Source organism: Homo sapiens, chromosome 3, assembly GCF_000001405.40.
Source record: "Homo sapiens chromosome 3, GRCh38.p14 Primary Assembly".
Taxonomy (NCBI): domain Eukaryota; kingdom Metazoa; phylum Chordata; class Mammalia; order Primates; family Hominidae; genus Homo; species Homo sapiens.
The window spans coordinates 78635134-78658850 of NC_000003.12; the positions used below are offsets into that span (position 1 = coordinate 78635134).

At 36.1% G+C, this 23717-nt stretch overlaps 1 protein-coding gene across 18 annotated transcripts in view; it reads right to left on the minus strand.

Annotated features, from left to right (window-relative positions):
* ROBO1 (roundabout guidance receptor 1) overlaps window positions 1-23717 on the minus strand; it is a 1170760-nt gene that overhangs the window by 37895 nt on the left and 1109148 nt on the right. For 8 of the 18 annotated variants that reach the window (XM_017006982.2, NM_002941.4, XM_011533976.1 and 5 more), the window contains 6 exons: window positions 21965-22136; window positions 16599-16796; window positions 12496-12522; window positions 11015-11057; window positions 4611-4765; window positions 640-975 (listed from right to left, as the gene is read on the minus strand). In XM_017006982.2, the coding sequence (XP_016862471.1) occupies window positions 640-975; window positions 4611-4765; window positions 11015-11057; window positions 12496-12522; window positions 16599-16796; window positions 21965-22136 (931 nt within the window). The remainder of the gene's footprint in view (window positions 1-639; window positions 976-4610; window positions 4766-11014; window positions 11058-12495; window positions 12523-16598; window positions 16797-21964; window positions 22137-23717) is intronic. The other 10 variants (XM_047448664.1, XM_011533980.1, XM_047448665.1 and 7 more) reach the window with 3 other exon arrangements.

A 23717-nucleotide genomic window follows, 5' to 3' on the forward strand; every position in this document is an offset into this window, starting at 1 on the left:
CAGAAACATTTCCTTCAGGCCACAGAATACTATTCTGCGGCTTCAAGTTAATACTAAACTCAATTTATTTTAGGTTCTATACGGACAGACTTCAATCAGGTCAACCAAGGAAATTTAGGTTCTAAAATTATACACTGTAGCAGTCTTAATAACCACACGAGGTGGGAGACATACAACAAATTGAACCACTTCTCCAGTTCAAGTTTAATTTAATTATTTTATTTCAGGTTGATATAAAAATGCCATTGGTTTATATAACCACATAGAAGCAATTATCTTCCATCCTCTAGTGGAAAGAATGGGATAGTCTATTTATTGAAAATGCGAGGTATTGTGACAGTTGTACATCTGCCTCATGAATAAAAGATTGTCCGTCCCAATCCCTCACCTGCTATTAAATTTAAATTAATCTCAAAACCATTTGAAAATACTTATATATTATTATAAAATAAATTTTCCAAGGTTATTGTTGTGCTAATTAACTCTTTGACACTGGAAATTTTGAAACCAAAGAAATAAGAAAATCTCAGCGACAGAAGAAAAGATTTTACTTGCTAGTCGCAGACAAGTTTCAACATCTAGTCGAGGTGCTGAGAGTATCATACAGAAACAGATGGGAATACATGCAAGCCTCTTCACCTTTGTTCAGCTTGTTTTGCTCCACGATGTTGTACTGAACTGGTGCCACTTCTTGTTTCTGCTGTCCCAGTGGTTTCCAGTGCTTCTCGCCAGAGTCCCCGCTGCCATTGTTCATGTTGTTGCTGAGGTTTGACTGGATGAGCTGAGTGGTGGCGTAAGGAGTAGGCTGCCCTGATGGATTGACAAAACGCCCATCCTTCAGATTTGGGCTATTGAAGGTTTTCATCTCATTGATTTTGTTACTAAGGTCCACATCACCATAAACAGTTGACTCAGGGAGCATCAGATTTGTTTGTTTGTTATCCAGTTGGTTGTTATAATTTGCTATACAATCAGCTATGTGCAATGGAGAGGAAAAGGAAAAAATCATTCTGCGTGGTTATTCCTTTTAAATTTCTTTTTACGTAGCTTTGCGAGTCATCAGAAAATCGTTATGTAAAGTACAAGTGGGCTTAAATAAGATCAATAAAAACGGCCAAATATCCACATGTGCTTTCTAAAGAAAATTAATAATTGAAAAAATAAAAGAGGGTACACAGAATTTGTAGAGACTAAATAAATTTGAATTTCTGATAGTGCTGAAGTAAACAATTCATCCAATTTAAAATAATTTTCATTTAATAACCTCATTAATAGGAATTCCACTAAAATAATATATACATGTATATCTTTATGTGTCAACTTTTTATTTTCTAGTCTTTGGTTACTGAATTATTTGAAGCTACTGGTTAGCTGCTGAAGCAACAGACAAAGCACATAAATGAAAAATCCAAAGGAAAAAACTATTCATAGATCAAAGAACTTGAGATTTTGGTATTTTATAAAATACCTACATTTAAAAGATATGGGAACAGGGGTAAAATGATAGTAAATGGTACTAAGGAGAATTCTATTAGTTCTTGTTGTAGTCCTGTTGGATAATCATTATCCGGAAAACATGCTATATAATTATTTTCTCATGGTTTCATAATGACAACCAAAGAAATATAAAATGACAATAATAATAATAACAAAAGGAATCATAGTAACCTGGGTAATTGAATCAAATAAGCCTGAAATAATACTTAAATATCTAATATCTCATTTCCACTCCAGTTTTCTCTCTATTGAAATATTTGGACATTAAATAACTGAATATACATACATAATATATACATTCATTTTATATATATATATATATATATATATATATATATATATGGCCTGCAGTTGAAAATATTAAAATGGTAGGAAGAACTGAAATCATATTTTTAAATTAAAATAGATTTTAAATAGAAAAATTAGTTAAATTACAATGGTAAAAATGTCATTATTTTATGCATGTTGTCCAAAAGTGGTACCAACATTAACAAGTCACCTGTAGCATTGGTTTTTAACTGGATATGTTTAAAAATTATAAATTAACATGTTTGTTACTAAAGATGTAAATGTGAATATAATCTTAAGAAAAATGTGTAATTTCTCTATCCTACTGAATTCAACTATTCTGCATTTCAACCATGAACCGTCAGGGAACAGAAATATTTGATTCATCTGGACTTTGTGATTCTTATTTCTAATTTCTAGTTTTGTTTAACAGTGGTTAAGAAATACTATAAAGATCATGTGGTTTTTGCATTCTCATTTTGTTTCGCCAATCTGTCTATATTTGTGTTATCCAACAGAACTTTGGAGATATTGGACATGGTCTACTCCACTTTGTCTGATACAGCAGCCACCAGTCACACGTGGCCACTGAGCACTAGAAATGTAGCTAGTGCAAAAGAGGGACTGAGTTTTAAACTATATTTTATTAAATTCAATGTAAATAGCCATCTGTTGCCAATGGCTACCATATTGGACAACACAGCTCTACCTATTAAATGGGTATCGCCATTTTTTCTCTCCTATAGGTCTCAACCCAGTTTTTCTTGTACTTATGATTACATGAGTATCTATCTGTCTAGACATTCAGAATATGGGCCTCTAGAGGACAGAGACTTGGTCACATGGATACGTCACATCCACGTCCAGTGGACACTCAGGATTCGCTTTAAGGGCAGACATGCAGACTGCTCTATGATTTGTTCTTTATAGTGCATAGCATCTTTACTTAAATCCAACTTCTCTCTCGCCTTTCCGTAATTCCACAGGTTATTTTACTTCTATCATCATAGAGATTCCATACAATAATTTTAATATTTCCTATATTGGCAATATTGGGTTTTTTTTTGGGGGGGGGAGGGGTTGTTTGGTAAGAAATCTTTGGTAATTTTTATTCCTTTAAATCTTGCAGACTGTACATCTGATTTTTTACTATTATGTTTTGGCATGAAATTTTAGCAAGATAATTTACTCACACATACATCTGACTCAAAAAACAAACAATAGAAAATAAATGTATGCATGCACACCTGCAGTGTGTGTGTGTGTATATATATGTGTGTATGTGTGTATATATATACACTTATATACATATATGTATGTGTGTATACACACATACATATATGTATATGTGTATATATATACTTACATATAGGTGTATATACATACATATATGTGTGTATATATATACACACACACTTAATATGTACATATATATATATATCGTGTCCTCAGGATTTGCTACTATACCATAAAATCTGATTTTAAATTTCAGTTAATTTTTATTTAAATTTTTTTGTTATTACTGTTGTAGATTATTATTATTTTTGCTATTAAAGAATTTGGTTCATTATAACTATGAATTTATTTACCTTTTGATCTGTGTTACTCCCAAAATCTCAAAAATGATTAAATATGATTAAAGATTATTTAATTACAATTAAAAATTATATGCCAGGCACAGTAGCTCACCCCTGTAATCCCAACACTTTGGGAGGCTGAGGCAGGAGGGCTGCCTGAGCCCAGGAATTTGAGACCAGCCTGAGCAACATAGCAAGACCTGCATCTCTACAAAAAAAATTTTTTAAATTAGCCAGGCATGGTGGTGCGTGCCTGTGATCTCAGCTACTTGGGAGGCTGAGGTGAGAGGATTAGTTGAGCCCAGGAGGTGGAGGTTGCAGTGAGCTGTGTTAATGCCACTGCACTCCAGCCTAGGTGAAGAGCGAGATTCTATCTCAAAAAACAACAAACAAGCAAAAAAGGTAAAAGAAATTGTAATCACATACATTCTTATCAACATAAATACATTTGACCAGCCTGGCCAACATGGTAAAACCCTATCTCTACTAAAAATATAAAAATTAGCTGGGTGTGGTGTTGTGTGACTACAATCCCAGCTACTTGGGAGGCTGAGGCAGGAGAATCACTTGAACCCAGGAGGCGGAGGTTGCAGTGAGCTGAGATTGCGCCTCTGAGCTCCAGCCTGGCCTACAGAGTGAGACTCTTGTCAAAAAAATAAAAAAAGTTAAATACTTTTATGGCTGGGCACAGTGGCTCACGCCTGTACTCCCAGCACTTTGGGAAGCCGAGGTGAATGGATCACGTGAGGCCAGGAGTTCGAGGCCAGCCTGGGCAACATGGCAAAACCCCATCTCTACTTAAAAAAAATATATAAAAATTAGCTGAGCCTGATGGTGCAGGCCTGTAGTCCCAGCTACTCGGGAGGCTGAGGCATGAGAATCACTGGAACTCAGGAAGTGGATGCCACTACACTCCAGCCTGAGCATCAGAGTGAGATTCTGTCTCCAATAAATAATAAATAAATAAATAAATACTTTCACATGATTTTATTTTTCCTACTTGCTATTGATTGTAGAATTTATCTTCCCAATTCTCTGGGCAAAACTTTTTTGGTGGACTTTAGCAAAGTATGGAGGTTAAGGGATGGAGAAAATACTTAAATCAGGCTATTTTGCTAAACAATAGTCAGCATTGGATAAAATACGGGTCAAATTTTATCTTTCCCATGTAGGGAGAGGGAAAGAAAAGATCTTCTGGCTAGTTCCTTAAAAAGCTTATACATATCAGGCTCTCTCTGTGTCCCTAACCTGGGCGACTGTAGGTAGTGAGGTTGCTGTCGCTGTTTCCATTGCCTGCCGTGCAGCAGCTGATGGAGCAGTCATTGTGGTTGTTGCCAGTATTAGGCCACGTGTCTGCCAGCCATGGCTGCGCGGCAGGTTCACTGATGTTGAGAAGTCCAGGCCTAAATAAAAAAAAAATATTAAAGCAAATGTTATATGAATAGAGAGTAATATTTTCTATTTAAAATTCCAATAAATTCCTCATCTTGTTATGCTCACAAATCATCTGATGAACTATGCTGAATGACATTATTATCCCTTTTATTCTACACACAGGCAACTGTAATATAAGGTTCTGGGATGTGCCTCCATTTACATAGCCATAACTGTACACGGGAAGAGTTATGCATCAGACCTAAAATCTCGTATCATTTGCAATGTTCTACTCTGCCTTTAGTCATAATGGTTAAAAATCAAACATGGAATATGAACATATTTTTGAGTCTTTTAGTGGTTTAAAAAAATACCCTAGTTCAGATAGTTGGCACTTCTTCATTTTGACCCATTAAAAAATTGTGACTCCTTACAACTTCATTAAAAAATGAAACAAGCCTCTTTACTCAGACAATAGATTCTTCAAATTAAATGTACTGGCGTATTTTTCTCCAAAACCATGTTTCATACTTAATGAGTTTGGGGCTCTGTGACATTTTACACAGATCCTCATCAATGTTTCAGAGCATAGTTCTGTAAGCTTGTCAACATTTTCTGATGGTGACAATGTAAAATGTCATAAATCCCAACATAAGCAAAGGAAAGCTGATGAATTAAATCTGATAAAACAGAGATGTCCACTAAAAAGAATATTAGTGTTCATTTTGTTATTTTTTGGCAGAAGATGCTATTCCTCTTTTACTGTGCATTGGGAATGCCAAGTACATCAGCGATTATTAATGGGAGCCTTGGACCAACAGAGCCAGGGACTCAAACTGGAGTTGAAGAGTGGGATTCTTCATTTCCTTTTCCAGCACCGACTTCATACTTACCTCCATTCAGCAAAAGAGGTGACGTCCCATTCACAATAAACAGACTGGCATTACAGACTCTGCAAAGATTTTCTTGGTGGTTTTATTTTCTATGTTAAAATGCAATAATTATGTTTCTTATTTACCTGGGAAGCAAGAAATCTGATATTTCACCTTCCATGGTTCTTATTCTAGCACATAGTCTACTGAGTAAAATTTAGTATGCAAATGATGGTTGAGAAGTAATCCATTCTAAACAAAGGCTATGGACTTGTGATTCATTTTTGTATGCATATGTGGGTACATATAGTTATATAATAAAAATAAATATTTACCCTTTGCTTATAATGTGTGAGGCATTGTTCCGTTTGTTTGTTTGTTTGTTTGTTTGTTTTTAAACAGGGATGAACTCATGTGGTCATCACGACAATTTTACAAGGGAGGTACTGTTATCCAGATTTTAAAGATGAGGAAATGGGACGTCTAAGAGAGGTTAAGAAGTTTGTGCATGGTTACTTAAAGTGAGTGAGTGGCAGAGCTGAAATTCATACCCTAGCAGGCTGGCCCTAGACTTTACACTCTAAGATTTTATAAACACATACACTGGAGAGTACTAAAAGTTCCTAAAGCTCTGGAATATTCTTAATGAAAGGAAGAGTGGAGAAAATATCGGAAGTGTAAGCTGTTAAAACTGAGCCATCTTACTATTAAAATTGTTGATAAATCGTGATTTGAAGAGTAACGTTTCCAAACTGTTGAAATTTTAAACATTTAAATGCAAATTATAACACAGATATCTGGAGCCTTGAAATAGATATTAGTTATAGGAATTCTGCATCTAGTAATCTTTTGCTTTCTTATTTTATTTTTCTTTGAACTTAAACTATGAATGTTATCACTGTAGAAGTTATTAAAAATAAAACTCCATATGTGACACAGCAGAGATGTTATAGGACGTCTGAAATATGGGCCAAGAGGAGATTTTCCACAGACTGACTTACATGTTTCAAAAGAAATAGACAATATTTTTATGCTGCTCTGATTCCCTCTGAAAAACACTTTCATAGTGAATGCTTTGATATCATCATAGGCTGAGAGACCTTTTCATATATATGAGTGATTTCCAACAGGAAGCTGACTTATCGATTTACATCCTAGTTTTCTGTTTAGACTTGAATTTGGAATGCTAGTTATTTAAGGCAGAAGGTGAGCCATGATTACTGGCCTATAATGAACCTTAAAATGCCATGTGTAGATCTGAGATGACTTTGAGGAAGTCAAGGTCATATGTACCTACTCTAATAAGGGTTCTAAGGTCTTTTTTTAAACAATTTCCCAGGCTACCCTTATATATTCGAGCTTAAGATATGAAGCAGAAAAAATACACATGGTGGTTATAGGGATTAACATGTTTCTTAAATATTATCATGTAATATTATCATATAATATAATAAGTGGATAGATTTGCGTCATGAAGAAAAAAGAGGGCAAATGCACTTTAGTAATTATATGGCAATTACCTTCAATTCCTACTCTTCTCTTGCTATTCCAATCACTCACCCCAAGAAAGCCTATTTGAACTGCTAAATCACAAAATAAAACACTACAGAGTCCAGGAGCTGCGGAAATGGTGAAGGAGGCTGGCAGGAAGCCTTGTCAGGCTATAGGCTGTCTCCCCTTCCCACTGGCAGATTGAATGAGCTATAAAGCCAAGGGCTAGATCTCAGAATTGCCAATATTTTAAAGAGAAGCAAAGGCTTGAGCTCTATTTCCTCACCTCCCACCAACAGGGAATGTGGTATTGGCATTCTCTACCAGGTTAGCCAGACTTTCCCATCCCACCCTTCTCAGGTTTTCTCTGCTTTCTTGCTTTATGCTGTGGTTTGGATTAAGTATGTTTTTTGGACACATTGCCTGGAATGTTTGAGGAAAGGAAAACAAATGAGTAGCAACGGCTACTTAATATTTCCATGATCATTTCCCTGGATTTTCTCACAAATTCTTTGCCCTTTTTAAGTTGGGAAGCAGTCTCTTTGCTTACCACACTCTTCATTCTCTCTTTTCCAGGAATAGCCACATTTGCAATGTTCACAATGATAACAGAGCTCTAGATAACCTTCTCCTTTTATCAGAGGAAAAAATACAGCCTCCACAATTTCTCTGAAGTTACAAAGGACTGAACTCAGGCCTTCTGACATTCATTTATTCAATGGCTCATTCATTTTTTTTTTACTTATAGGTGACATCTATCAAAAATTAATCATTCATGTGATTTATCGCATTTATTTATGTAATTTATTGCATTATTAAAAACCCATTTATCGATAAATAAACCACGTAATCTGCATCCTCCAGGAACTCACACTCTCTTGTCAGAGGCAATCATATCCACCAGGAGTTGCCAAACGTTTTTGGTAAAGGACCAGATAGTAACATTTTAAGGCTTCCCAAGCCATAGAGCTTATTTGATAACTACTCAACTCTGCCAATGTGGCTCAAACACAGTCATAGAAAATATGTAAACAAATGAGCCTAGCTGTATTCTTATAAAACTTTATTTACAAAAACAGGTGGCAGGCTGGATTTGGCCCAAGAGCCATAATTCACTGACCTCTGACATAAACAAAAGATAACCGCATCACCTTATGTTACGCACTTCATTGAGGTAATTCCACATTAGAGAGTTAATGGAGGGCATAGTAGGTGGAATTCAGTAAACTGAGAAGGGTCGCTGGGTGGGGAGACAGTCCAGACCTATGTAATACATGCACAGTGTAGTAAGGACACATAAGAGAATGCAATCTTGGCAAATGGCAGGTGGGGTGACACAGTGGATTGTAGGGTCTGGCACATTTTGAGGTGTGAAGTAAGTCTGCAGAGACCTAGAGCTGTGGACTTTGCATATTATGCCGAGTTTGGATCTGATATTCTAAACATGATAGGTCCTATTGATAATGGGATTTTCTGGAGCTCAGAAACATGATCAATATGCATTTCAAAAGATCGTTCTGTCTCCAGTGAGCAAAGGGAATTAGCAGGAAATAATGCTAATGAAGGTATTATAGATAAAGGTAGGACTCCTGAGAGCTTTTGTCATAGATTAGGCAAAGGAGAAGTAGGGCTTGAAATGAAACAATATGAGAGTGAAAGGAGTAAGAGACAGCATCAACAAAATGCAGTAATGGATACAGGAGGTCCAAGAGGATGGCTGGAAGGTTTTGGCTTTGGTGTCATTAACTATGTGAGGTAGGAGGTCCAGTGAGGACTCAGAAAGTCTGAAACACATGAGGGAAACCAGTGCTTAAGGGGCAGACACAAGAGAAGTCAGTGTAGGAGTTTGGTTCATTATTCCCTCTCTGATCTCACTAGATCACGAAACATAGACACAGACACACATACACACACAATGACACACACATCCGTAAGTGGCTAGGAATGAGGCCCCTTCGTAAAGCATCCTTATTGTCCTCATCCTATTTTATTTTTTCCGTAGCATTTATCAACTGCTGATATTGTACAGCTGACTTTTTAAAAAAATGTTTATTATTCATCTCGCATTTCCGCCACTATAATGTAAGGTCTGGAAGGGCAGGAATTTTTATACACTTTGCTTACTGATGCTTCCCAAGTAAGTAAACTAGCACCTGTCACATAGTAAGTGTTCAATATATTGCATGAATAAATAATTCTAAAATTTTGTATATAACTGACATTTTGAGCATTGACTCTGAAATCTTTATTGAACTGTTGCCTCCGTAACATCCCAACATCGTTTAGCATTTCATTTAGGAAAATGATCATTTCTACTTACTATTTGAAATAAATCAGTTTCACTGACAGGGATTTTATTTTTAACTTTAAAAAGCTATGTTTGTTTTGTGATATAGTGAGCTTTCCAAATAGCTCAGGAACTTTGTAATTTTTCCATCCTGCCGTGGCAACTAGCATTTGCTACCTATGCATTCCTGCCATTGTTTCCCATGTGCCAGTTTGCTCTATCCAGGTTGTAAATTCTTTTAGAGTAGGAACCAAGCTTATTTTTCTGTATGTGTGTGTGATACTTGTGTACACACACCCACGCACAGAGGCTAGTGAAGAACATATCAAAGACACTCAAGAAGCACTTTCACATGCTTTGATTAGTGAGGAGGTTGAAATATACACATGTAATGAAGTGGTTATAAAATCAGGTATTCCAGATTCACCCACGAGAAAATGTTCTTATGCCAGAGGCTCTTTCATGAATGTCTGGGCTGTGATTTAGATGGAATTCCCCTGGATGCACAAACATGCCCTGGTTTAATTCCTGAATCAAGTGGATTTATTCCTTATGAAAACCTCCCTAGCTTTGGGTCTGTCACTGGCTGGCTTTGTTTCACAGGTATGAAAACAGGAAGTTAGCAATACCCAGGAAAGAAAAGATTAGTACTTGTTGCCAAATTTGTACAGCATTGGCTAAAGGTGGTCAACCTTCTTTTTTTTTAAACCACTCTTTGTTATATACTAAATTCAGTAATTTTCTTATCCGGTGGTATGTTCCTTGAATTTAGGAATAATATCTTACTCATTGTTATCTTTCTAGTAGCAGTCATGTTATACAGCTGTACAAAGAAGGGAATTTAGTAAGTTCACTGAATTTGAATTATAAGATGGTTTTGGTTGGAAGATTTTTTTTTTTTTACACTGTAAGCTAGATGTTACTGTTTTGGAGAAAAAAAAAACATCTTATTGTGAAAAATTCTGAAGCTTGGCTCATCACATAACTTATACCTTATTTCAGCCCCTTTAAGCTGGTTGTCACATCAATTTGTGATTTCTCTGTGAATATATTAAAGTTCACTGAATAATAATTACTTTAAAAATCATAAATATGAGATTCATTTCAATTAGAGGAGGGAAAACATTCTTTGTTAACAAGTTACCCAGATTTCCTCTTTTATTTCAACACATTTTCCTGCAAATGGGGAAGTGAACTATGTTGAATTCATAACAAGAATAAACAAACATAACCTACAACTTATGAGCAATTGCTGTGTTCAGCAGGTTTTTCAAATGAACTCTTTTTCTTGGATAGTATTAGTTAACTAGCTGTATTTGTTAATCTTCATAAATGCCACCGCTTAGTCACTTTAACTCCTTTTAATCATTTGCTAAATCAGCAAGTCTCTTTCTCAGTTAAAGTCCTCCCTCTAGTGGTCACTGACTAAGATGCAACTACTCCAATCAACTACATTTGTGTGTAAACAGCTTGTTTCAACAGCATAGCTGAATGGAGTCTTCGTCAAGGAACTAAATAAATTCCACCTTTAAGTTAGACTTTTTAAGCAGAGAAAGTGGTGTCATTGAGGAAGATGAAGAAATATTTGGAATTCCCTGTAGGATCTACAAAACAAGCAAGATAATTACCTCCCTCCACTGCTGACAGCTTCGCCTCCTCTCTGGTAAGTTACTAGAATGTTACGAAAAAAAAAAGGAACAATTAATAGACATATTTATATATCAAAAGCTATTACATTCATGAGCTTCTTTCTAAAATGGAATTCCTTCTGTCTTCCTAGACAGAAGCATTGCAAAAATCACATGACGTAACAGATTGATTCAACTAGTGACATTTCTTTAAATATTGTATAGAATTAGATATACATATCATATATCTAATTATATATATAATTAGATATCTATATATCACTCTTATTTTCTTCAAATTCCAATAAGGTGGAGAATCAAGAAAAAGCAAAACATCAGTACACTTATTAAATATAACTGTTACACATCTGTACATTAGCATTCCGATGGATTTCCATTTTGAATTTATTATTGGAGCACATAATTTCATAATTTTATATAGGTGTAAACTTAAACTCAGGAAAAAAAAAAACTACTAGATTATTTTCCCGGAAGTATGAGTACCAGTAAGTCAAAGAGAAATGTTAAAATAAACCTTTCTACACACAAAGATGTATGCCAAGTTGTGACTATTAATTCATGTGACCTATTTTTTATTGTGGCTTCTGCAAATTATTTCTCATTATATTTTCATCAGACATGTATAGATAATCAAAATATATTATAATGCTCTTGAAAGCATCCTCAGCTTAATAAATTTGGGATGGAAAAATTTAACCATAACAAAAAAAAGATTTTCACATAGTTAGGCTAAGTGGTTAAGAAGATTAGCTTTTCTGTAAATACAGACACATTTTCTAAGAAGAAATGTGTTTTTAAAGCTGCCAAGTTCTGCTACTTAGAAGAACTCCAAACTGGAAGTCTGTTATAGAGAGATAACTGCTCCCAGTGATGACAATAACTGGATTAAAACTGAGAGGGCACAACTACACGTACATCTTTTCCTGGAGGTGATATGACAGAAGAGGACCCATTTTGAAAGAAATTGGATAGAACGGAATATTAGGATTCTGACTTAGGGAAAACGAAAAGTTCTATCTTTCACATGTGCTGGATATTGTGGTTACCTTTAACAATATTGATTCTGGGGACAGAGAATTATAAGGGAGAGAAATTTTTGTTGGAAAACTTGAAAGCTTAAGTTGAAAAATGCACTGTCAAGTCTGAAGTAGTCAATAAGATCATTAGCATGTTAAATCATGCTGAAGGTAGAGACAGTGTGTCTACTTAATGAAACACATGCAAACAAGGCCAAGATCCAGTGTGGAATTGTGAATAAATAATTGCATCGAATGGATGAAAAGCAACACCAACCATTTCTACCTTAAACACATGCCTGGTGTGAGTAAATCAAGTATTACATTCCACTTTAAGTTCTTTCCCCCAACTTACTGCAGAAAATGAAATAAAAACAGAAACACAATAGTGGAACACATGCCAAACTAACAATGGAAAGGAGGAGGGTAAGTGCAAATATATACCTGTTGGTGTGAAGGTAAAAGACGGGACTGAAAAATCAAAACAAAATATAAACCAGTTATTAAGCTGAAGAGAGAAAGGGAACATATCACATTAGTATAAATCAAGCAGACAGCTGAACATAAAACAAATGTAAATAACTAAGCCAGTAGTTCTGACAATCTGATCTATGAATAAAACCAATTCTGAGGTTAAAAAAAGAAGCTTGTCTCTACAGGTACCATTTTGAAGTGTCTGACATTCTAGTACACTCAGGAAGGGAATTATGCTAGGTTAGCCTGTGAATGACCCTGCATTTAGTAACACAGATTTAGCTCGTGGCTTTCGTACAAACAAGAATCCTCCACTATTAATCATCTCCAAACACAGGATGATGGATTCTTAAATAAGTATTATCAGAGTCTTGCTGGAACCTTATCTAGAAATCTGAAAGTAAATGCTTATTAAAGTGAACTACTAGGTGCACTTATGTACTTAACATTGAGAGAAAAAAAAGAGAGAAAGAAGGAAAAGAAGGAAAGGCAAGGAAAGGGGAAGAAGAAACAACAAACAAACAAACACAACACAAGTAAAGGAAAGGAAAGAAAAAGATGAACTGAATAAAAGAGAACCATAAAATTTAACTATTTCACTGAGTGGAAATGCCTGACATCTTATCACATAACTGACATTTTTTATCATCATAAAAACTTGTGAATGGACAGAAAAAACTGGAGTTTTAAATTTTAATTTCTTTGAGTTTACTTTTAGAAGCTTCCTAGAAGTAGGCTGGACATTCTTTTAATACCACAGTAGAAGCTAAACAATAGAACAATAACACCCTTCTGAAAACCTTCACTCTCTCTGCAGTTATAAATCTTAATCTAATCAATAATGCCTGAAATTGAACCGCAGACCTCAAAAGTAGCAGCCATTCCTCCCCCACTTTTCCTATCTTCTCCCATTCCTGGGGGGTTGGATAACGGCAGAGCAATTTCCATGTCATTTCATAGAGGGAGGAGATTGACTTATTTCCAATCTCTTCATGTTAAATTAAAGTAAACGCTGCTCTGGTTAAAAAAAAAAAAAAGCAAGGAAATATATGTTATTCCCTCTAAGATTAAAGTTTCTTTAAAATAATCTTTAGTAGAAACAAACTAGAATATTGATTACTTATCATGTATCAAAACACTGCCAGAATTATATTTTCTATTTCACATTTGAACATCTCCAAGAAATTTACTGTAGAATCGGAGCATTTGGGGTTTGCAAACCGAAACGCTATAGCGTCCTCTACAATTGTCACTTCTTACCAAGCCACTTTATCTCTGAGCATACTAGAAAGAAGAAAAGCAAAAACCTCAGTGCTGTGTCCCCAATTTATACCCTGGCCTTCGTGTGCAGCACAGCAGTCCCTGTCTTAAGAATCCTATTGTGTTTTTTTTCAGTCAGGTCTTTTCAGAGAGTCAATGTAATTTAGCTACATTCAAAAATTCAGAGCCATAGTAACAAGTCTTCATAAAAAAAAAAAAAAATGAAAGGTGCATTTGAAACTAAAGCTATTCAAGCAAGAATGGAGTGCCTGAACATTAATTTGCAATCACAAGGACACCGGGAAAATATGAAAGGTCCTTGTCATTACTTCTCCTAGCTAACTGCTAACCCCACTTTGAGGAACTGAAGAAGAGATGAAAAGGAGGTCAATCTAAATGAAATTTTCACTGCTAGCACACGAAATAACAACTTAATTTTCAAAGCTTCCAATAATATAATAAACTCTCTGGGTCCCTAAGTGATGCGGGTGCAATATGTGAATGCATGTGGACAGGGGGTACCCAGCGAACTGGCAGATGTCACACCGATAGCTAAATGTAAGGGGGAAATGTTAAATATGCTCACTGTTCCCCTGAAGTTACACTCTGGCTTGATGTTTTATAGGTCAGTAGGCTCTTTTACATTTTTTATTCTTTAAAATATTTCACTTTCTTTTTTTCTTAAAATTACTGGCATTGACTTTGGTATAGAAAATTTAAGATCTCAAAATGCACTTAAAAATTGCCTAGAAACAAAATTATGAAAATGTGCCAACAGGACAAAGTGAAGAAAGCAGAATCAAATGCTCATCAAATTACATTTGTAATTATGTTCTATGATTTCTGCTTAAACACAAGCTAAGTTGAAAGGGCAATGGTATTAGTTTAATAGGTTTTGCACAAAGAGCACATAGGCATTTGTTGGCATGCTCAAAGTACGTTAGTAAAGAAAAAGAAACATTTCAGTAGGAAGGAGAGTTGCATGTCACATTTTTAGAGTTCAAGACAATGTAGACCATTAAATTATTATAATCACGTAGCTATGGCACTTCATAAGAAACACAGGATTCCACTGACTGGCTATTTGCAAAACAGAGTTCATGATGGAGGTCTTTTGATGAAGAATTCAAGAGACTCCACATCTATATGTTAATTAGTCACTCTTTTCCTCATTCAAATCCAAACATCTTCTACCCCAAACACCCTACCCCTTCCCCACTCCACCACACAAAGACACCCAAAACCCCTTGTCTACAATTATTTTCAGTCAAAGGTTTTATATGGTAGCATGTGCCTGACATTCTTCTACTTTGTATACATAATGAGCACCAGTTCTCTTTTCAGTAACCTCCAAGCCCTCATTTTCCATTTCACAGGCGGGAATATTGACATACTGCTTCATCCCTAGAGAGGACACATATCTGAAAAAAACATATTTAAGGATGATAATGCTAAAGCAAATGCATGTACATGAAGAGATTGCTGCTGAGCCACAGGCAGGCGGCAAGGAGATTTATTTTTATAGTATTAGTGATGCATTTGTGTTGACTCTTGCTAAGTCCCCTTGTGACGGACAACACAAATATTTTAGACTGCTGTCCCATACTGTTTTGGTCTATGCATAGGGACATTCAAGTTCTAGCTAACATGAAAAATTCTGACTTTGTCATATAATTGGTCAGAGAAACAATCTGGCCAACACATGTAAGAAATGTTCACTTATGTAGAAAATTCGTGGGAAAAAGTTGGTGATGGTAGGGTAGGAGACTTTTTTAAATTGGAAATCCTCTTTAAATTTGCTTTGCAGCAAAGCAAAGCTGTTGCATTCGACTGAAGGATGGGCCCTATAATTTGTATAATCTGCCATTTAAGTCAGTACAATTTTGAGAGCAAGAAGGGGTACTAGAATTGATCTTGTTGGACTAATGACATAAACTGGGGTGTCTCTGAAAACTGGGACTTACAACCATCTAACCTAATCTACAGCCCAGATCTGAGGCCCAGAATTGATGAAGGTATCTAAGGGGCATGGAGGATCATCTGTCTGACACTGTTAACAATTTCCTTTGAGAATAAAAAACACAAAAATATCAGCAGTCTTCAGAGTTTAAGGATAAGTAGCAAAAGTATGTGAAAATCTTGGCATATTTGGGTCATCTTTAAAATTGTAAATAATAATAGTGGCCATGTAAGCTGTCTTTTTTAAAACTGTAAACACATTCGTAACAAAATCACCATCACTAAGTAACAGCATACACATATTCCATTTTGCAACTTTATAATAATAAAAAGGGACTAACCCTCTTCTCTCTGTAAGCAACAGTACATCACTCAGTCAGGCCTTCCATATTCACCAAGAAAGGAGTATTTTATAAATAATCAAACGGCAGTATTTTCTATTTTGCTTCACAAAGGGTAACAATGTCTCCCCTGAAACCATGTGAGACTGTTCAAAGGTTGCGTTTATAATTCCAATAACAAGAACATTAAAAATTTCCTTCAAGAATATAAAGCAATAAAATAATTCCCTAAGAGAAAAGGGAAAAGGTATAACAGCCAAAGGTAGACCTACCTTGGTGAAATCTATTTTAAAGGAACTGAGCCCTAAGAAACTAATAAACTCTATTTGTAGTTCTGCTATGTAAGAGAAGTTAATATGTGGATACCGCAGCACAATAAACGCACTTTTGAAAATCTTTATATATTAAAACAAGTTTTAGAGGATATGCATAATCATGAATAATTTGGAATCAAATATTAAAATCAAGAGTTTTATAAACATTAAAATATGAAAACCTTGGGAAAGCTAATACCTTTTCTGATACCCGCGTAGGTACTAGTAAGTCCGTTTCTCTTCTTGCGGTGTCGATAAAGCCAGATGCTGAAGACCATGAGGATGATCCAACAGGCTGCTCCAATACCTGCTATGAAGGCCGGCTGCTTCACCACATCTGAAATCTGCTGAGCGAGGCTGACTTGGTCCTCAGGTGACACAGGGTTTCCATGGGCATCTGAAAAGTCATCTTCCGATTAATTTGGGTTGAAGACTCAATGCAATAATGCACGCACTCATTTGTGGCTGCCATTACTTTGTTAATTTCTGGATAATGATTTCTGTTTTTCCTCTCACACCACTCACCATCATCAAATAAAATAGTTCATACTGTTTTCAGCAAAATTGGACAATTTTATTTATTTCTTTCAACTCAAAGCAAGTGTGACAATTGTATAGAATCATGCTTAAAAACAAAAGCAATGGCACACTGCTTCTCTTTTCGAACCAAAGAGGTTTGCAGGTTACTTCTTAGATTAAGTCTCACAGGACAGTGCTAACTGAGAAAAATACAAAAACATAACACTAAAGAATGAAGTACTTTAATACACACACAAATAATACATGTACACATAAGGAATATTTAATAAGTATTCACGGACAATAAACTTTCTCAGACTTCTACAGGCATGCTTAAATAGTATGTTCTAAAAAAAAAGAAATAAAATTTTATTTCTTCTCTAAGCTAGATATGGAAAAGTCTCTATGTGTGTGCATGTGTGTGTGTACCCCGACACTAACATTATATTGTAAGACATTTCATTGTCTTAGAAACACATTACTTAATGTAAGCTCAGAAAGACCTACACAATTCAGGATCAGTAAAACCCAATGAAATATTCAGATAATGTTACCATTGAAAGAGCCATGAATAATCTCTGCATTAAAATAATAATCATGGCGAGCAACAGATAAAATAATGTTAAATATGTAAAAGAATTATAATATCAAGGGTTATGAATAGTCAAAAGGGCTCATGTTTTCTGCTGGCCATTTTGATTCATTATTTAAAAATTGATGAATATATGGGTAATAAAATTAACTTAGTTTACATTTATGTTTTAAGTCTACTGAGTTTTTTTCAAGCCCACCATAACACCCAGCCACACAAGGGGCCTGCAAAGTTGCTGTAGAGAACTGGAGGCTGTATCATCAAAGCAATATCCAATTCTGTTGGCATTGAGTGATATCAACCCTGAGGGTGCCCACTGTGCAGAATTCCCACCTCTGTCTGCAATTTTGATGTTCTTCCCCCACCACATCTGGTGAAACAAGAAGGTGTTGGCCCATTTCATTAGGATTGGTGCTTTCTTACAATTATTAAATCATTTGAGTCTGATACATATTGTCGTCATGAGTTCTTATAATTTCATTTGGCCTCAGCATTGATTTTGAATCTAAGTTTAACCTTCTCATAGCAGAATCTGGGTTTTGACACCCTTGACAATTTCCAGTTCCCTGCCTCCCTCCAGTTCCCTGCCTCCCTCCAGTTCCTCAACATGGTCAATCCAGACATCTGCCTTACATGACTGACTTACGGTGGCCACCTCCCTGTGGGATATGTAGATACAACTTACTTGACTCACCCCAGTGACCCCACACCCCTCATGGACTGTGCAGATATGCCAGTGACCATTCTCAGACAGAATGTGACCTCCTGGAACTTGTGCCATTTGCTCTAAGAACCCACCAGTAGGAACTCCCCAAAGGAAACCTGCCTGGGTAATACCTTCAACAGCAAAAAGTCCTCAGAGCCTAGGTCTTCCCCACCTGGATTCCCACCTGCTGGTTGAGCAAATTGCCCTGGTGGCCTTCTCATCTGCCCTTGTCGGCACTCCCTCTGTCTCATGGGTCTGTGAGTAATAAACTGCTTCCGTTATTTCACGTGTTTTTGTTGTGTTGCCTCCTCTGAGTCTCATCTAAGCAACACACTGGGAGGTTTTAACCTTCCTCCCAGTCAAGGCTCTCCTAGGAGGGGGCATGTTGACAGGAATAAGCTGGACGCAGGTCAGATAAGAGCCACAGGGGCGTCTGCCAGTATAAACTAGTTTCCTGTGTGAGGGACACCTGGTCATGGGTTGAACACAGGTGTTATGCTGTCTGCCAGGATTAAAAAGCATCCTGTGAAAGGCACAAAGTGAACACCCACAACCAAATTCTCCAAAGCCCCGTCAGGGCAGGACTAGAGTTTATAGCCACTGTGCAAAGAGAGACTTTAAGACCAAACTAGAAAGAAATACAACAATTCTGCTAATACAATCTGCTTTAAGATAGAAAGATTTTTCAATCCAAAAATACATTTTTTTCCATAAAGATAATTGGTATAACTCATTACATATGAATAACATTTTTTATGGATTCTTCTTTCAATGGATTTTTCTCTTATTAAATGACATTGCATCTTGATAAGAAAACTGGAAGGAAAAATAAGCAACGTTCAATGATGAAGAAAACAGCCTTCAGGAAAACAGCACCCCTTTCAATGCAAAATGGCTAAATTCCTTCTCATGTTGTATGAGTGTGTGTGGTTTTTCAGTTTGCTTTGTTCTTTAACAGAATTCCAGATCTCATTCTATAGAGGGTCAAGGCTGAAAAACCTATTTTCATAAGCAGTTACCTGCCTTTCTCTGTTTGTTGAATGAAAGTTTTATTTCATGTTCCAGACTCTTTTATTACCTCTGGTTATCCTAAGCACTTCATCCTCTTAAAGTTCACCGAGCAGACCTATTCTTCTTATCCCTAATACATTCTTTGTATCTGCTAGGTTTATAGATTTCATGGCTATTTGTGCAAGGTTAAGATGGGTAGCCTCAGATAATATGGAAACAGCCAAGAGAGGTCCTATGCAAGCAACCAGATGGACTTAACAGACTCAAGTGTGGTATGACTAATGAATTAAAACAGCCACTCGCTAGCTCAGTCTTTGTCTCACTGCAGCTGAGCCTATATTAAGATATGGAAAAATGGAACTCATTTGTAATTTCAAGGAAACCAATTTGGCCCTAAAGCCCCCATGGTTTCAATCTTAAATAAATAAAATTATACATAGTCATTTTCCCAATTTATCTTCCAAAAAACAGAACTAAATAATCTTCAGTCATAAAAATAGGTAAACAACAACAATATATAGAGTCATCACAGTGTTAACTTATTTCAATGTTCATAAATTAATATTGAAATTTAATAAAATTGGGCAAATATTTGACTATCAACTATTTTCTCAATATAAACTGTTTTCCTCCACATCTCATATAAACGTTCAACAGATGCATCAAGCAACTTATTTTCTTACAGTTTCTTGTGTTGCTTGAAACAAACCAGGAGCTATTTTTGTTTAAAAGTTTTATTTCTATATATAATCATTGGTTTTTTTTAAAAAAAATATTTTCATAGTTTTTGGAGAACAGGATGTTTTTAGTTATATGGATAAGTTCTTTAGTGGTAACATGAGTGCAAAAATCAAATTTTAGCCTATGGCTATGATAGAGACAGCAAGTTTTTCCCTAAAAGCTTGAATGGGACTCTCATATAATAGAGCTGTTGGGAGGAGCCTTCCTAGCCAGTGACTTAGTTTTGAGGTTACCCCATTCATTTGCTTGCAGTCACACTGGGAGTAGTGATGTGTACCATGTCTAGACCTGTACCACTGAACATTCCCATAGACGATGTGTTTCTTTCCTCCCCCTGCTACAGGCCCAGGGTCCACTTCAGAAGCCCCATGATAAAGAGGCTAACCCATCCGCCTATGATCCTCAATGTGTGTGTGGAACAGAGTCCCCACCCCACAAGTGGACTTTGGTAGACGTTATTGTCTTATAGGACAGAAATTCTGCAAGTGTATCTATTACCGCAACTCACATTGTCTAAACAATGGAACATCAATAATATTCTTCAAAATAAATGTGAAGTTCTTTATGTATAGCAATGAAGTTTATGAAAACCAGGTGTTTCTTAATTTTGTTTTGAAATAATTTCCAGGATGTCACCAATATTATTAACATGCAAAACTAGTATGTAATTGTGAATTACAAAGCTTCATACATCTGATCCTTTTTGATGATTTAACAACTGATTGTAATATTAATAACATATACTAATATTTCGCTAGTAATAAAATACTACTAATGCTTAACTTCTGATCTGGAAGACAAAAACATAAAGGTGCTATATGCTTCTTGGCATCATTCATAATTTACATGTAGCTTCTTAATATTTGAACCTTTCTTCTTGCTTTTCAGTTACAATGGTATTTTGTCATTGTTTTGTTATTGTTTGTTTTAGATTTTACTAGCATGCACTTACTAATTTGTACTTTATGTTCATGCCATATTGCCCAGAGTGAATTGTGGTAATGAAGCTTTTGATGTTAGTTTTTTTTTTAATTCATCTAACCACGTTTGAGGCACAAATTGTGTTTAACTTTCTAAGCAATCAGCATATAAACATATTCCAATACTCTTTGACATCTCAATCTACCTTTTGTTATAATAAACAATTACAATTTTAAATAGACACTACCTGTGAATATAAATTGGTCGTTGCTATAAACTTCTAATACCTGGTTTAAGTTTTAAATTGAAGTTTGCTTATTTGATTTTTTTTTTTTTTTTTTTTTTTGATAGGGAGTCTCACTCTGTCGCCCAGGCTGGAGTGCAGTGGTGTAATCTCGACTCACTGCAAGCTCCGCCTCCCAGGTTCACGCCATTCTCCTGCCTCAGCCTCCTAAGTAGCTGGGACTACAGGCGCCCGCCACCACACCCAGCTAGTTTTTTTGTATTTTTAGTAGAGACGGGGTTTCACCATGTTAGCCAGGATGGTCTCGATCTCCTGACCTCGTGATTTGCCTGCCTCGGCCTCCCAGAGTGTTGGGATTACAGGCATGAGCCACCGCACCTGGCCTATTTGTTTGATCTTAAATCCAAGCAACTGTGAGTTCCATGAAGGTGCAGACTGTCTTTCATGTTCACGGAGGTATCCTTGGTGCTCAATTAATAGCATTTGTTGAATAGATAAAAAAATTATATAGGACAGGATTAGGATAACATTGAATATTGACAACCTTTTGCCTGAAATATCAAAAATGTGTGCTTAGATATGTTCAAGTTTAGTTGAGATATCTACGTCCATATATCTACATCTAGTCTGTCTCTCTCTCTCTCTCTTTCTCTCTCTCTCTCTTTCTCTCTCCTACATATTAAGTAAAGCTAACACCTTTTTGTAGCTCTAAGCCATATTCCATATTCTATTAAATTAGCAATGGTGGGTGGCTCAGCCACATGCAAAAAAGCAAAGTGGGACACATGGTAGAGTGAGAGATTGTCAAACTGGATCTGCACTGACACTCACCCAGCTGGATGAACTGAGGCTCACTCTTTACCCCAGACCCAGCCCCAGTGCTGGCTGCCACTTCCACACTGTATCGGATTCCAGGAACAAGAAAGGGAATGACCACGGAAAAGGTGGAACCATCCACTGTTTTGTTGATGTGGTATCGAGTTTCATTGCCCAGACACCAAACCTGTAAGAAGCACATCACAAAAATCAAGCTGGTAAATTACCTAAATGAATGCAAAGATCAACACAGGGTTGCAGTTTTAGACCCAGACAGAGTACTAAACTGTCATGCACTACCATAAGAAGTTTCCAAAGTCATTTTTTCCCTAAAATCTAGTTCTATGAACAATCTTCTGGTCAAGTTTAACGTTAAAAGTAGTTTCAAGGCATCTTTATTACTTTCTCATATACTTTTAAAAGGTTCTATCAGGTAAGTCTACAAATCTGTGCTTGAAGGTAGTAGTTTCTATCAGCCCACTTCATTTAGATTTCTTTTTAACACCAACACATTATCTGCCAGCTAAATAAGTACCTTGCAGATAGCTGTGTCTATGCAGATCAAGAATAATACTCATTCAACATTTGCATTCTAGGCATGACCCAGATGACCAGATATTGTAAAACAAAAATGAGTAGGAAACGCCAAGCCTCGTACTTCAACAGTTCTCTGGGATCAACCTGCCTGGCATGGGCACTGGAACATCACATTTTACAAGGAGTAGTTGATTGAAAAGGAAGGAGAGCTTCTGAATACTCTAAAGTAGTTTGCACAAATATGATTATTAAAAATAAAACTGCACACAAGGAGTGAGCCTCATCTCAGGATTTTATTCAACCTCTGGTACACTGAACTATATTATCAATGAGAGACAATTTGCCCTCTGCTCTTCTATTTAAATGGGACTATCAGTCCTTCACAGCATACATGAGAACATAAAGAATAGCAATACATATTTGATGTGAAAAAAGCATTCTTCTAATAACAAAGAGTTACCTGATTAACTTGGCTAATAATATTTGTGATACAAAACTATTCTCAAGAAATTGAGATTTTCAAACTATTCTATAATCCTTGTTTTAAATTTCACTAACAGATTCATCAGTGAGTGATCTTCTGCGATGTTTAAGAACTTGGATATGGTGCACGACAATGTTCAAGCTCAGTTTCCATAAGAAAATGATCTATAGAAAAACATGCTCATTATTATTAATTATTATCATTAGAGATGGAGTCTTGCTCTGTGGCTCAGGCTGCAGTGTAGTGGTGCAATCTTGGCTCACTGCAGCCTCCACCTCCCGGGTTCCAGTGATTCTCCTGCCTCAGCCTCCTGAGTAGCTGGGATTAAAGGTGTGCACCACCACACTCAGCTAATTTTTGTATTTTTAGTAGAGACGGGCTTTCACTGTGTTGGCCAGGCCGGCCTGACCTCAGATGATCTGCCTGCCTCGGCCTCTCAAAGTGCTGGGATTACAGGCGTGAGCCACAGCGCCCAACTGACATACTCTATATTCCTTATGATGTTCTCAAGCAATATATACCATTAACTTTAAGTAGACAATTGTCTAAACTCTAATAGGAAGTGAGATTTAAAAGAAATCTAAGCCTAGTCTCTTCCATCATTTATCTTTTTATATTTTCTTTGAAAGTTAATATTATTTTAATATAGTTTCAATACATAACACCAAGAAATGCTCAGACCCTATACCAGGAGCTGACCATTTGGAAATTAAGACTCTTTTGTGATTTTTTTAAAAATCCCATTTA